Below are 14938 nucleotides of genomic sequence, written 5' to 3' on the forward strand. Positions count from 1 at the left end.
TTTCTTTCTTTCTTTCTTTCTTTCTCTTTCTCTTTCTTTCTTTCTTTCCCCTTCCTTCCTTCCTTCCTCCCTCCTTCCTTCCTTTCTTTCTTTCTCTTTCCTTCCTTCCTTCCTTCCTTCCTTCCTTCCTTCCTTCCTTTCCTTCTTTTTTTTTTTGACAGATTCTCACTCTGTCGCCGAGGCTGGAGTGTAGTGGCGTGATCTCGGCTCACTGTAACCTCTGCTGCCTAGCTTCAAGTGATTCTCCTGCCTCAACTCCCCGAGTAGCTGGGATTACAGGTGCCTGCCACTGCCCCTGGCTAATTTTTGTAGTTTTAGCAGAGACAGGGTTTCACCATCTTGGCCAGGCTGGTTTTGAACTCCTGACCTCATGATCCTCCCCTCTCGGCCTCCCAAAGTGTTGGGATTACAGGCGTGAGCCACCGCGCCCAGCCTTCCAGGCTGGTTTCAATCTTCTGGCCTCAAACGATCTTCCTGCCTAAGCCTCCCAAAGAGCTGGGATTACAGGTGTGAGCCACTGTGCCCGGCTGAGTAGCTGCTTTTTTTTTTTTTTTAATCCTCGATTTACAGATGAAGACCAGAGAAGCTAGGCTGACTTCCCATGTTGACACAGCAACTAACTGGTGGGGATCAGCTCAGAGCTGGGCAGACTATGCACTTCCCACCCTGCCCTGCACCCCATGCTCGGCTTGCTGGATTTGATAGAATCTAGCAAGCGTGGGGGCCAGGCTCTGCTGACTCCCTGTGAGAAGCAGTGTCTGTTTCTGTGTCCTTTTCTGGGGCCTTCTCCAGAGGGAAGGAACATATCCCAAAGCTGGAGCTTGCACTCAGGAGCTTCCCAGGGGAAACTGCTCCACTCTCTGCCATCTACAGCTCTTGCAGGTACCATAGTCTACCTCCATGATCTATTTGCAGTGGGCGATGGTGTTTTGATGATTTCCACATCATGAACCCAAGTGCTGTTGCTGATTTCGAAGCTTGTTCACTGTCTCCTGCCAAGTGGCCAAGGGCTCCTACCCTAGCCCTTGGTGGCTGCTCCTGGCTGCCATCTGCCCACCCAGTTGGCCCCACTGCCTGGGCCACGTTCTGGTGGCATCCAAGAACTGGTAGCAGAGATGGTGATTAGTCAATGTGTGTTATACCCTGGGTCTCTCCATCTTTCCAACAGAGACCTGCCTTACATGTAGGACTGCCTCCCCTTGTTCAGGTTACCTAGCCCTTGTGCAATTCACCTTCTGATTGGAGAAGGAAGACAATACGGCCCTGCCTCTCGGCCTGTAGAGAGGAATGGATGATGTGAAACTGTGGCATGCTTGATATTCTGCTGGCAGAGAGGAGAACAGATGTTAACACAGAGCACACCTCTGCCCCGAACCTCCTGGGAGCCTTGGAGGTCCTGAGTCAGCCTGTCCTTGGCACTCAGGCTCTTCAGACGTCAAAGCACAGCGTTGGGCCCAGCATGACCTTCTGCGGTCCCAGGAGACATCAGGGAAGTGTTGTCAGTGTCCTTAGAAAGCCCATGGCTTGCTCGGCCACATCAGGTGCAGGGACCTCAGTCAACCACACAGCAGGTAGATATCCTTGAGAACTGTGTCAGGTGGGAGGATAGCCAGAGGGTCTGGGGGCAGCCACCTGACCCTTCAGTCCCAGGATCTAGCACCTCCCATCAGACCTTCCTCTTCACTCCCTGTTTCTCCCACCAATTATTGGCATTGGCATATTTCTGAGCAAGTTCTCTCCTTGTGGCCTGTCACTCTGTGGGTGGGAAGTGACCCCCTGCTGAGCAGGTTCAGTGTTTTGAGGTGGGGCTATGACCTTCTGCTTTGCACCGGGCTCTAAACACCCTGGCCTGCCCAGGATTCTTTGCAGCTCCTGGGAGAAGCTTAGAAATTTTAATTTCCTTAATTTCCATGGAACATTGCTTTGTGTGTGTGGCTAAAAACATTAATTAAAAACATTAATCAGTTTGGCTGCCTTGGAAAGAGGTTCTTTTTTCTGCAGGAGCCAACGTGCTGGGTTATTGCAACCCCATCTCCCCAGCCCCTTACAAGGAGGAGGGGACAGGACATCAGCTTGCAAACCAACACTTCAGCCCTGTATTTGTGGATTTGTCTCTTGGTGTCAGGCAGACTCCTTAGCTCCTCTGAACTTTAGTTTCCACATCTGTAAAATGGGAAGAAAGGTTATGTGTCTCCTGATTTCTTGGGGACTCTGTGTGTGTTCAGTGAGGTGCCAGGAGGACAGTCCTTAGTGAAATGTCCTCTACAGAATTTGCTAGTAAAGGCGCTGTTGTTATAATTAGCTGGATTTCCCTGGTAGTTTACAGACTGCCTCTTCTGCGCACTGTCTCATTTAATCCTGTCAGCGCACCTGGCAGACGGGTAGTGTTTGAATCCACTCTTTTTCACAGATGAGTACACTGGAAAGGGAGGGTTACAGCCAGGCCTGGAGCTGAGAACCTTTGATGGAAGCCCCAGGCTTTGGCCCAATCTCATTGCCTTCATTTGCTCCCTTGGCCCCATGTGCTGAGTCCCTACACTAAGTTACAGTGGTGAGATAGAAAGAGGGGAGGCCTTTTCATTTCCTCCTGGGAGGAGAGGAAGAAGTTAAGTCTCTAGCATTTGCCTAAGTAGTGCTAATAAAAGCTGACATTTCTATGGGCTTATAATATCCAGAGACAAGTGCTAAACTCTGCAAAGATTCTCACTTAACACCAGGAACAAGCCTCTAAGATGAGAAACTGAGGCTCAGAGAGCTCAAGTTTGAGTACTTGTTCAGGGTCCTAAAAAGCCTCTTTAAGTAGTAGAACTGGGACACCAACCCAGGAAGCCTGAGAAGAGCCCACCGTCAACCAAGAGGCTGTGCCTCTGCCCTTTTTGGGTAACGAAGCAAATTCATTTTGACAATAAGGCTAAAAGTGCTTTCCTGGTCACAATGCCTGAGGCGTGTGGGAGGCTGCTCACTGGGGAGCCCAGAGGCGCTGAGGACAGCATCTTTCTGCGTGCCTAGCTAGTCAAGGGGACTTTTCAGAGTAAGGGGGAATTCACTCTGTGCTGCTGGGAACTGGACTCTGAGTGCAGGATGCGTTAAGCCTGCACTGAATGGGAGGAGGCGAGGACTCTGAGGCTTGCAGAACCACTGCAGATCTGTCCGTGATACCAACACATCTAAGGAAGGAATATGACAACCAGAGTGCCTCAGAGAAGACAATTATGGCCAAGTTGTTCCTTGGGGAGAGATGAGGAAATCAAAGTGGGGAATACAAGCCACCTGCCCGCCGTTCTTGCCTGTGGGGCAAGGATGTTTCACCAGCTATTCCAGAGTTGAGAGCAAATTCCCCTTCAGAACTTTTCAGCGTTCTTTATTCTGAGTTTGTGCTGACTAAGCTTCATGTCATTCATGATTTGGCTGCCAGTGAGGATGGTGGGGGGGCCTGAAAAGGGAAAAGGGCACCGTACTGTAAATGTATGAATGGGGTTTTCTGTGGGGGCCACACCGGAGCATCACAGTTCTTTGAAGGACAGGAGAGAAGGTCAGTGCCTGGATCCCCAGGCTAAGTACCAGGCGCTGCTTTAGGATAGCCTAGAAGGGTGGCCCCTGGGCCTCATTCTCCACACTGTCCCACCCCTTTTGACCACCTCATCTAGCCATCTTGATGATCAGTTAAGATAAGAATCTCTAGTGAGGCTACATTTTTTTGTTTCCTGAATAATGCATGATGTCCACTGAACACATGTTACTAGATGACAGTGTTGGGCTCAGATAAAACTTACAACAAAATTAATCTGATGCAGCCTCCATGGCTCACATGATCCCCACCATGTATGAAATGGGCTGGGCACCCAGGGACAGGCTATTCTCAGAATGGGGTTATTGGGTGTGTTTCTTATTCCTCTCTACCTAGTATTCTTGGAAGAAGGTGAATGAAAATGCTCTAGTAGGGGAGGGAAACATGATTAATGGGTGGGGGCTTATGAGTCAGAAAGACCCAACCATCACTTCTGCCCTGACTGCCTGTGTGACTTCAGAAATGGGGGATATCAAAGCCTATCTCATAGGATTAAACAGTTTAATGTGTATAAAATGCCTAACACAGTGCTTGCCACATAAGCATTGCTCATTAAATGTCTTCTCTTCTTGTGCTCCTCATTCAGTGTATAGTAAATGTGCAGTCCTTATCTTTTAAATGAATGAAACATCTCATTACCAAATCTATTCAAGGTAAACATTGATATTAATATGTATCCTTTTTGTGTGTTTCTAGAATCCTGTTACACCTGGGATTTAGGCACTTTCAATCTGAAAAAATACATATCCTTTCAGCACTCTGGACGGACTTGAGAACTGTCCTTACGTGACCTAAAGCTGGAGTATTTTGAGATTGGAGAATTAAGGTAAGCGACTTTATCTTCCTGATCCTTGTGAAACCAAAAATAGCTTTTGGAGTTGACGACCTCCTGCAGCACAGCTTGGGTTGTGGTTCTTGACCTCTCGGTGTGTCTTCCTGTGCCGCTCCAATGTGTTCGGGAAGCTGGCTCCCCATAACCTCTCCCCGACCTGGTTCTCAGAGTCTAGTCCACTTATTCATTGTGCCTAGGAAGCTCTCCCTCTGTCCCTAGTGGAGGGAGGAGCCCACCATCTCCTAGTGAATGCGCCACTTGTAGCAGAAGGTGCAGGATGCTCCAGCTGTCTTGTGAAAACATGTGGAGACAGCCTTGGGGAAAAGAGGAAAAGGTGAGGTGAGGGTTATATAATCAGATTGAAACACCTTTGGGACATCCAGAACATGAGCTCTTCCTCCTTTCCCAGCCAATCCGTGCTTCCTCCTTTCACCTCCTTGAATTCTATGCTCCTTCCACACTAAGGCTGAGGGTGCAGGAGGTAAAGGGTTAGAGGTTAAGACTGAGTGCTTCAGGTAGACTTGGGTTTTCTTGGTTTTGCTACTTGCCTCATTTTGGACAAGTCACTCAGCCTCTCAAAGCCTTGGTCTCCTCATTAGTAAAATAGGGATGGTATTAGTGCCTGCCTCATGAAGATGTTGTTTGTGTTGAGTGAGATATTGGAGCAAAACAGCTTAGCAGGCTGCCTTGCACTGAGGAAGAAATGCTCCAAAAGGGAAGAGAGTTTTTGCAAATTATTCCTCAATTATGCCATTTAGAATTCCTTCCATGTATCAGGCTATTTTGAAGTCTTTCATTTGCTGTCCCCCCAGCCTTTCACCTATCACCAAGTCAGCCTGGGAAACAGCTGAGAATCACCTTCCCAGTTGTGCCCAGCCCCTTACCCAAAGCAGAGTTGATTCCCCCCTCCCCTGGACGGCAGCGGGCTAGTGAAGGCATGTCTCCACTATACCATGGCTACTGCACTGGGTTGAAATGTCCCTTGCCCCTTCCCCTGCCCATTCCCCCTATTGCTGGTGAAATTGCTTAGAGCAAGGACTGTCTTACACATCACAGGATCTGGCATAGTGCCTGACCGAGGGTGAAACAACAAATGAATGAGTAATTGAAAGGAGAGAGAAAAAGAGATAGAGAAGTAACCAAAAGAAGAAAGTTTTTAAAGGTTCAGAGGAAAGAATGAGGTCAGTTGCAATTTTTTTTAAGTAAGATGTTGGAAAGAATAAATGACATGATGAAAAGGAAACTGACATGATTCCTATCATGAATTTGAAAGCTATGCAAGGGTGGAAAGGTGGGTGAGAAGCTGTGGACTGGTGAGAAGACAGAGAAGTCAGAACTGAGAGCATAGCAGAGAACTGTACTTCTGTTGTGCTACATATGTCATCTTCATCTTTTGTATTGTGCCTTAAATTTTCAAAAGCGCATTTGCGTTTCAAATCTGCTGTGATAGTCAGCATTCCTGTGGCATGCAGAGGTGAAGAGCATGAGGCCTTGCCCTTCAGTCAAGGTGGGGATACTGGCACACATAGGATACTACATACTCCCTAGGTGTCTGTGAGGATGGTGGAGGGGATTTTCTCCATGCCGGGAGGCTTCCTGGAGCAGGTGCTGCCTCTCGTGACTCTTGAAAGATGCTTGTGAATAAAGCATACTGGGAGCTGAGCTGCTGTTTAGTAATTAAAAATCCTTTCCATTGTTTAGAGCTCAGCACCTTTGTGCATTCATATTACGCATTCATTTTCGTATCATTGTTGAATTTCTCACTTCTGCTACTGCAATGTATGTCTACAGCTGACAAGTCTTCCTTGGGAGCCCTACGTAGCTCTTTTTTTTCTTTTCTTTCTTTTTTTTTTTTTTTTTTTTGAGACGGAATCTTGCTCTGTCACCCAGGCTGGAGTGCAGTGGCGCAATCTCGGCTCACTGTAAGCTCCACCTCCCGGGTTCACGCCATTCTCCTGCCTCAGCCTCTTGAGTAGCTGGGACTACAGGTGCCCACCACCACGCCTGGCTACTTTTTTTTGTATTTTTATTAGAGACGGGGTTTCACTGTGTTAGCCAGGATAGTCTTGATCTCCTGACCTTGTGATCTGCCCGCCTTGGCCTCGTAGCTCTTTTTGACCCTCAGGGACAGTCACTGAATTATGTCTTGGGAGCCCATGCTTCTGAGGCAGGCTTAGGGAGCAGGAGAGCATACAGGTGTAGCAGCCTTTCCAGCTGATCCCCATGCCCTGCTGCACCTGGAGGGCTGGAACAAGCTATTCTCATATTGGGGAAAAGGGCTGATGGGACCTCAGTCATGTGGCAGAGAATCTGAAAGCCAGAAGCTTGGCAGGTCTGTCTCGGGGTGGGGTGACGGAGAGACATTTCCCTAGAATTCAGCTGCTGGGAGCAGAAAGACAGAGCAGGGGCAAGTGCTGGGTTTCTGAGGCCCGCAGTCCTGAGCATGGCCTCAGGCAGTCTGTTCTATGACAGAACCTGAAGAAAGGCCCAGGCATTTGCATCTATGTGTGCAGTTCTACTTGTCCTAAAGGCACTTCTCACACTGGGAGCCTGCCTGTCTGTACCTGTCTAGAAATCAGCCTGGCTGGGACGCACACCAATAGGAGGGCATCCTCACCTTTCCCACCCATGAGTCGGGACTGTTGCCTGCTGTGCAGCAAAGGCACCAGGAACACGGAGTCAGACACTTAGGGTCTACCCCAGGCTCCACTTCCCACTGCCTATTTGACTCTGGGCAAGTCTTTTACAGCTTTTCAAACTTCTCTCTTTCTTAAAACAAAAAAAAAAAAAAAGGAAAAAAATTTCTTGCCAGGCACAGTGGCTCACGCCTGTAATTCCAGCATTTTGGGAGGCTGAGGTGGGCTAATCACTTGAGGCCAGGAGTTCGAGACCAGCCTGGCCAACATGGTGAAACCCTGTCTCTATTAAAAATACAAAGATTAGCCAGGCATGGTGGCACACGCCTGTAATCCTAGCTACTTGGGAGGCTTAGGCACAAGAGTCACTTGAAACTGGGAGGCAGAGTTGTAGTTAGCCAAGATTGTGCCACTGCACTCCAGCCTGGGCAACAGAGCAAGACTCTGTCTCAAAACACACGTACAAATTTTTTTCTTTTATTTTTTTAAAGACAGGGTCTTAGCTATGTGGCCCAGGCTGGCCTCCAATCCCTGGGCTTAAGCAATCCTCCCACCTCAGTCTCCTGAGTAGCTAGTACTATAGGCACACACCACACACCCAGCCAGACTTCAATTTTCCCAGCCACATCATGGACCAGAAGCCACTTGGTCTGGTTGTGAGGATGACGGAACCTTGCCCGAGGAAATGGGCAATGAACAGGAGCCTGTTTGTTTCTCCTTCCAGCTCCTGACCTGTCTAGCTCCTGACCCTCTCAGTGTCATTCTTGCTCACCCCTGGCCCTGCTCCCTGGATATGCAGACAGGATGGGCTTCTTCCCTTTAGACCTTCACTTTGCTCTTTTGGACTCCTCTTCTGGCCTTGCCTTCCCCTGGTGTCATCTGCTGGCTCCCTGCCTGATACTGCCACACTGGTCATGCTGGCCTCCTGGCCTTTGGTGACACCGCATCAGCAGGCTCCTGCTTCCCTGTCAAGGGATACAAGCCAGCACCGGTCTTTCGCCACAAGGTATGTGTGTAAAGATTGCTTCCTGTACTTGGTGTCCACAGGATTTTAAAGAACTCCTGGCCCACTCGGAACTCTACGCTTGAAACAGAAACATCTTCTCAAAACACCTCTGGTATTGGCCCATTTCTCTATTACTGTTTCTTGTGGTTTCATACTGAGGTTTTTGGTGCATTGCAATTGCCCTGGAGTTTATTTTTAGTAATAAAGACAGAGTTCAATTAATGTCAAAACATGAGGGTAATTGCAGAGGAAGGATTAGTAAGTCTAGGGGAAAATGTGCCCAACTTTTTTTCTTCTGATAACATCTTTCACTGATCATACACCGTCACACCCACAGACACGGAGCTTCCTCCGTGATGTCTGCAATGCACTAGGCCCAGTCGGGGAGCAGTGGCTGCGCCACCACCTGAAAACGAAAGCATTTCTGAGTCTCTTTCAGTCCAGCTCATCTAGCAGCCAGCCACACAGGTGACCACCCACCGTAGCTGTCACTATGGGTGATGATTATCATTATGGTTTTGAGGAAAGGCTGGGCTTTAGAATAGTCAATTCTTATCCTCTCTCCGGGGGGATTTATTCTGTCTCCAGAAGCAGCATTTCACTTTCCTGAACATCAGCTCTTCTCCCCTGGATTGCAGGGTCTAGGTCTTGTTCTCTGTCTGCTTCCAGCTTTTGGCATTTTGACAGCACATAGGACATGCTTGGAGAACGTTTTCTTGAGTTAACTGAATTCAGGACACTGACTTGGGGCTGGAAAGGCAAAGTGAGGAAGAAAGTATTCCCCTTTCAGAAGCTCCCCAGTCTGCCTTAAGAAACAAAGGCAGCCCTGTCATCTGCCCAGGACTTTACAGTTTATAAAGTGATTTCTCATCCTTTCTCCTTTCTTGTATTGCACAAATATCGAACGAGAACCTGCAGTGTGCCACTGTGCAGGGTGCCTAGAATAAAGGAGAAAAGCCACTGTGCTTTCTCTGAAGGAATCACAGGGAGTGAAGCTAGCTTCATGGATGCCAGAATTTCACAGATGAAGGGACTGGAGGCTTGGAGCAATTGCATTGCTTGAGATCCCCCCTGCTCATGGATGGTGGCTCCCAAATCAGGACATGAGTCTTCTGAATCCCTTAAACCTGCCCTGTGCCTGCCTGTTCTCCCAGCACATTCTCTGTACTCTCTTGTGCTGCTCCTCACCCCCTCTCCAACTGTCTCTCCTTCTCCACCATTGTCCTCTGCCCACTCCTAGTCCCTTCTTTCAGCTCTGTTTCTTCTGAAAATGAGGATCTTTCTCTCTACAGTGCCTCTTGTGGGACGGGTTCTGCTGATGGGGGCTGTGTTTGGGATCTCGCCTGGAAACACGATCTCTCCAACTTTCCCTGGGAGCAGAGCCTTGGGTCTCACTGAACCCACCTCCCCAGCACCTTGTGTGGTGACTGGCAGGAGGTAGCCATTCCCTCCTGTCCTCTCTGCCCTTGTCCACTTTCCTGTTATGAGTCAGTTGCTGAGATAGGCTATGAGGAGTTAACAGAGTGGATAAAAAAGAGCTTTGTCCTTCTTTAAAGCCTTCAAAATATACAGATGTATTAGTCAGGGCTTTCCAGAGAAACAGGACCAATAGAACATGAAGATAGATGCGTATCCATGTCTATATCAATATCTACCTTGATATTTATATCTATATCTAGGAGATTTATTTATTATAAGGTATTGGCTCATGCAATTATGGACCCAGAGGGGTCCTGTGATTTGCCACCTGCAGGCTGGAGACCTAGGAAACAGCTGTCGTGTCACAAAGGGCAGAGGGCTGGAGAACCTGTAGTGTAGATTCCAGTCCAGATTCGAAGGCCTGAGGACCAGGAATGCCAAGGGCAGGAGAAGATCGATGTCCCAGAACAAGCAATCAGGCAGAGATGAAATTCAACCTTCCTGTGCCTTTCTGTTCTATTCAGGCCTTCAGTGGGTTGAATGAGGCCCAACCCACATTGAAGAGGACCATCTGCTTTACTCAGTCTCCTGGTTGAAGTGATAATCTCATCTGGACATACTCAGAAATGCTGTTTAACCAGCTCTCTGGAAATCCTGTGGCCCAGTCAAGTTGACACACAAAATTAACCATCACACTGCAGAGACACAGTCTATCCCAATACCTGTATTTACTGGGTAACGTGCATCTCAGCTCACCAGGCTGGTTTGATTGACTTGGCCCAAAGCTGCCCTTTGAGTGTTGAGCCCCAGCTGACCCCTTTGATCCTTCACAGCCCCATCATTAAAACAAGGACCCTGAATCAAGTGACTGTAAGAGCCACTCTTGTCCTGTTCTGTCTGTATCCTGGCTTTGAGTGTTTATCTAAGCTAAGCCCAATTGACTGTTGTCATTCTTTGTCTCTTCCTTGCTCAGACATCAGTTAGGTATTTATTGAACACTCCTGTGTTCACAGCATCCGGCTCCTGGGATTAGAGACAGCTCTTGACTCCTGGTTTTGCTCTTTGAAACCTATTGGACTGCTTTTCTTTTAAGATACACCCCCCACATTATAGGAATCTATCCATTTCTTTGTTCATTTCTTTAATTGTGCATTATATCAGTCCGTCAGTCAGTTTTCCTCCTGAAATATGCTAAGTATTGAGAATTATAATAGATTCTATTAAGCACCGCTAATAAAGTACTATCCTTATAGTAGTAGTAGTGTTTGCGGTGATGGTCGTGTTAGTACTAGTAGTAATCAAGATGGCCATGAAGAGACTGCTTTTAATCTACCAGTAATCATGGTAAAAATAGTAATAGCTCAAATGTATTATTCATGGTGTTTCAAGCACTTTACATTATATGATGTCATTTACTCTTCACAACCTGCCAGGAAATGGAAATGATTACGTAATATACTCCAGTTTGCAAATGAAGGAATCTTCCTGCGGAACGTATGTGAAGCGCATATTGGTGCTCTGGGCTTTTGCATAATTTCAAATGTCCTTTTTTTTTTTAAACTTAAGGCTAATGTTTAGAAGCTTTTGCTAATGAGAGGACCATTTGCTAAATCGGTATAAGTGCTACACATTTGGGTATCTCCATCCCAACATACCTCTTATTGCCATTCCCCAAAGCAGACACCTTCTCCTCCCTCCCTCAAGGACCTCTGAGCTTGCACTCCAATTCCTCTCCCACACTCACCTTTCTCCTTTCTGTTCCTCTTGGGATCCAGGTTTATTTGAGGAGATAGGAAAAGCTCCTGATCCAGCAGGTTTTATTCTTAAATTTGTAACAAAGTAAATCACAGAACCTCCACCCAGCATCCAGGCCTCTGGTTCTCTCCCTCCTTCCCAGGTATAGGCCGGCTTTCAGAAACCCTGCACCACATAGACCCTGGGCCTGAATTGCTGTGAGTAATAATGACTCTGCTGGTAATTTGTGTCCTTCTGCTTGGAACTGTTTCCTTTTTAGTTTGGTCACCCTCCCAGAGCTGGTTTCAATGGGGGCATACCCATTATGGGATGCAGGGCATCCTGCATCCTGAGGAATTTTTTTTCCTCCAAAAATGAAACCTTGAAATGAGGACATTGTCCTGTCCACGGACTGCACAACAACACTGAGCCTCAAGGACTCATACTGGCATTTTTCTTCTTTTGCAGAGTGTGGGCACCCTGGCTTCAAGCTCACGAGAAACCAGGTCGGGATTTAAACAATGTTGGGTTAAAGCAAAGTTTCATAAAGACAGAATCAAGAAAAAAAGAAAGAGAAACCAATCTAAGTGCCATCCTCCCTGAGTTGCATCTTACCTGAGTCTTCAGCCGCCGCCCCCTGCTGCTGTGGGAGGAAACGGGAAAGTGACTGGCCATGGGGACAGGGGTCGGGGGTGTGAGGGTTAGTGGTAGCAGGGAGGTAGCACTTCTGTGAAGCCGGAAAGGAGACCTGAACCTGGCTCTCTGCTTTGCTGCTTGCCAGCCCTCTGGCTGGGAAGAAGGCTCTTGGCTCTTGTGAGCCTCGGTTTCCTCTGCAGAGTGGCCTGTTCTGAGGACAGGCTGACATTGCTGTCCATCAGTCTTCCAGGACCCTGAGGATTTCAGCTCTACCCATGGGCACTGAACTGGAACATTCACTGGTCATTTGCTTTCGTTTTTTTTTTTTGTTTGTTTGTTTTTTGATACAGAGTTTCACTCTTGTTGCCTAGGGTGGAGTACAATGGCGTGATCTCAGCTCACCACAAGCTCTGCCTCCCGGGGTCAAGCGATTCTCCCCAGTAGCTGAGATTACAGGCATGCGCCACCACGTCCGGCTAATTTTGTATTTTTAGTAGTGATGGGGTTTCTCCGTGTTGGTCAGGCTGGTCTCGAACTCCTGACCTCAGGTGATCCGTCTGCCTCAGCCTCCCAAAGTGCTGGGATTACAGGAGTGAGCCACCGAGCCTGGCCGCTTCCGGTCTTTGGATTTGATTTTCCTCAAGTGTAATTGAAAGCAGGGGCCTGGATGGCCGCCATAGTCCCTCCCAGCTTCGACATTACACATTCCTGCCAATCCATTTTTCAGGCTGATAACATTGTTCAGAGTTTAATGGGAGCAGGGTAAGATAGTCACCGTGTGGAGCAAAAATTGAAGGAAATATTCCAGATGTCATGATTTTTTACCTGTAGCCCCTCTGCTGCCACACCCTTGTGCACATCCTCCAGACACTTTTAAAGAATAAACTCTATTTTCAGAAGAGTTTTAGATTTACAGGAGAATTGTGAAAACAGTTCAAAAAGTTCTCATATACCCTGCTCCCAGTTTTCCCTGTTACTAACGCTTTGCATTAGTGTGGCACATTTGCCACAATTAATGGACCAATATTGATACATTATTATTTACTGAAGTTGAAACATTACTTTAGTTTTTACCTGGTCCAGGATCCCATCTGGGATCCCACATCACATTTAGTGATCATGTCTTCTTAGATTGCCCTGGGCTGTGCCGCTTTCTCAGACTCTCCTGGTTTGTGATGACATTGACAGTCTTGAGTTTTGATGACCAGTTTTGACTGGTCAGGTATTTCATAGAACGTACCTCTGTGAGGGTTGTCTGATTCTTCTTCTTATTAGATTGGGATTATGGAGGAAGGCCACAGAGGTAAAGTTCCGCTTTTATGAAATCAAGGGTAGGCACCATCAGCATGACCTATCACTGATGTTGACTTTGATTACCTGGCTGCTGTAGTGGTTGTCAGGTTTGTCCACTTTAAAGATACTTTTGTGTTTTTGTTCTTTCTTAACTCCCTTTTTATATTAAACTCTTCAGAAGGAAGTCACTGTGCATAGCCATCCCCTAAGAAGAGGGCATTCCTGCTCTTCCTTCTCCATGGCTAGAGGATCTACATGAACTATTTAGATTTTTTCTACCTGGGAGATTTAACTCCTCTCTCCTATTTATTTATTTATATATCAGCATGGACTTGCAGGTATTTATTTGATAATTTTTAATTTATTTGAGTTATAATCCAATAATATGGTTTTATTTTGTTGCTCATGGTTTTTCTTCCTTGGCTATTGGGAACTCTTCAGTTACTTCCTGTGCCCATTTGACATACTTTCTTATTATGGGTCTTTCTTTCTTCCTTTTCTTTCCTTCTTTCTTTCTCTCTCTCTCTCTCTCTCTCTTCCTTCCTTCCCTTCCTCCCTCCCTCTTTTCTTTTCTTTTTTCTTTTCTTTCCTTCCTTCCTCCCTCCCTCACTCCCTCCTTCCTTCCTTTTTCTTCCTTTTTTCCTTCCTTCCTTCCCTCCCTTCCTCTTTTCTTTCTTCTTTCTTTCTTTCTTTCCTTCCTTTCTCCTTCCTTCCTTCCTTTTCTTCCTTTCTTTTCCTACCTTCCTTTTCCTTCCTTCCTTTCTTCCTTCCTTTCCTCCTTCCTCTTCTCCTCCTCCCCTTCCTTCCTTCCTTCCTTCCTTCCTTCCCTCCCTCCCTCTCTCTCTCTCTCTCTCTTTTTTTGGTGCATCCATACTTTCTGGCACTATAAGATGCTTAGGGCTTATCTTGTATATTTCCAGCCCCAGTTATAGAATCAGCCATTTCTTCAAGGATCCCCTGTCATTTTACTGGAGAAAGGACTTAGAATCCAAGATCTGGGTGCTAGATGTGCTTGAGGTGTTGTTTCCTCCAGATCTTCTCAACTGACAGAGCAGTGAAATATATGTGTGTAGGGAGGATGGGGAGAACAATTTTTTTAACACATATGAATACTTACCTGGCAGGGGAGATACCATGATCACAAAGGTGGTTTCCCCAGGGTGAGGCTTATCCATTGCACTCCCGATGTGCTGACCCCTGTGATTCCCCCAAATGTGGGAGACTTGACTGCATAATTTGTGGTAATGGGGGACTGCATTTACACTTTTCCCTGTAAAAATTTTTAAAAATAAATAAATACATAAATAAATAAATGTGTGTATATGAATCCATGTGCATGCACGTATGTGTAAATATTTCTCCAGGTATCCATCTTATCTATGTTAAGCTAACTATGAGTTTATACTGCTGTCTCCAACTCTAATTCATTACCACATTTCACCCATTTTTTTTTTTTTTGAAATGGATTCTCACACTTTCGCCCAAGCTGGAGTGCAGTGGTGTGATCTCGTCTCACTGCAACCTCGCTCTCCCAGGTTCAAGCGATCCTCCTGCGTCAGCCTCCCGAGTAGCTGGGATTACAGGTGCACACCACCACACCTGGCTAATTTTTGTATTTTTAGTAGAAACGGGGTTTCACCATGTTGGCCAGGCTGGTCTCGACCTCCTGACCTCAGGTGATCCACCCACTTCAGCCTCCCGAAGTGCTGGGGTTACAGGCGTGAGTCACCACGCCCGGCCCCCATCCACTTTTAACAAACTTGTTTTCTTTTTGCCCACATTGACTGACAAAAGAAGGTAATGAACAGAGATGT

At 47.0% G+C, this 14938-nt stretch overlaps 1 long non-coding RNA gene and 1 pseudogene across 51 annotated transcripts in view, besides 5 other annotated features; both read left to right on the forward strand.

Annotated features, from left to right (window-relative positions):
- PVT1 (Pvt1 oncogene) overlaps window positions 1-14938 on the forward strand; it is a 306733-nt gene that overhangs the window by 190374 nt on the left and 101421 nt on the right. For 24 of the 51 annotated variants that reach the window (NR_186144.1, NR_186151.1, NR_186156.1 and 21 more), the window contains one exon: window positions 4265-4394. This is a non-coding gene — a long non-coding RNA (Pvt1 oncogene). Of the gene's footprint in view, window positions 1-4264; window positions 4395-7760; window positions 8043-8083; window positions 8155-9985; window positions 10332-11663; window positions 11702-13302; window positions 13463-14938 lie in introns of all 51 variants that reach the window. The other 27 variants (NR_186126.1, NR_186119.1, NR_186132.1 and 24 more) reach the window with 9 other exon arrangements.
- Window positions 7398-7899: an enhancer, noted in NCBI's record as "H3K27ac hESC enhancer chr8:129004541-129005042 (GRCh37/hg19 assembly coordinates)". NCBI's record gives its function as "activates a minimal SCP1, AML or CMV promoter by ChIP-STARR-seq in primed H9 embryonic stem cells {active_cell/tissue: H9 hESC(primed)}" and the evidence as "EXISTENCE:reporter gene assay evidence [ECO:0000049][PMID:30033119]".
- Window positions 7865-8194: an enhancer, noted in NCBI's record as "active region_27955". NCBI's record gives its function as "activates an Ori minimal core promoter by ATAC-STARR-seq in GM12878 lymphoblastoid cells {active_cell/tissue: GM12878}" and the evidence as "EXISTENCE:reporter gene assay evidence [ECO:0000049][PMID:35858748]".
- Window positions 7865-8399: a biological region, named in NCBI's record as "H3K27ac hESC enhancer GRCh37_chr8:129005043-129005542".
- Window positions 7900-8399: an enhancer, noted in NCBI's record as "H3K27ac hESC enhancer chr8:129005043-129005542 (GRCh37/hg19 assembly coordinates)". NCBI's record gives its function as "activates a minimal SCP1, AML or CMV promoter by ChIP-STARR-seq in primed H9 embryonic stem cells {active_cell/tissue: H9 hESC(primed)}" and the evidence as "EXISTENCE:reporter gene assay evidence [ECO:0000049][PMID:30033119]".
- Window positions 11684-11773: an enhancer, noted in NCBI's record as "active region_27956". NCBI's record gives its function as "activates an Ori minimal core promoter by ATAC-STARR-seq in GM12878 lymphoblastoid cells {active_cell/tissue: GM12878}" and the evidence as "EXISTENCE:reporter gene assay evidence [ECO:0000049][PMID:35858748]".
- On the forward strand, window positions 14234-14397 carry RNVU1-32 (RNA, variant U1 small nuclear 32; annotated as a pseudogene).

This window comes from Homo sapiens, chromosome 8 (genome assembly GCF_000001405.40).
Source record: "Homo sapiens chromosome 8, GRCh38.p14 Primary Assembly".
NCBI classification, from domain to species: domain Eukaryota; kingdom Metazoa; phylum Chordata; class Mammalia; order Primates; family Hominidae; genus Homo; species Homo sapiens.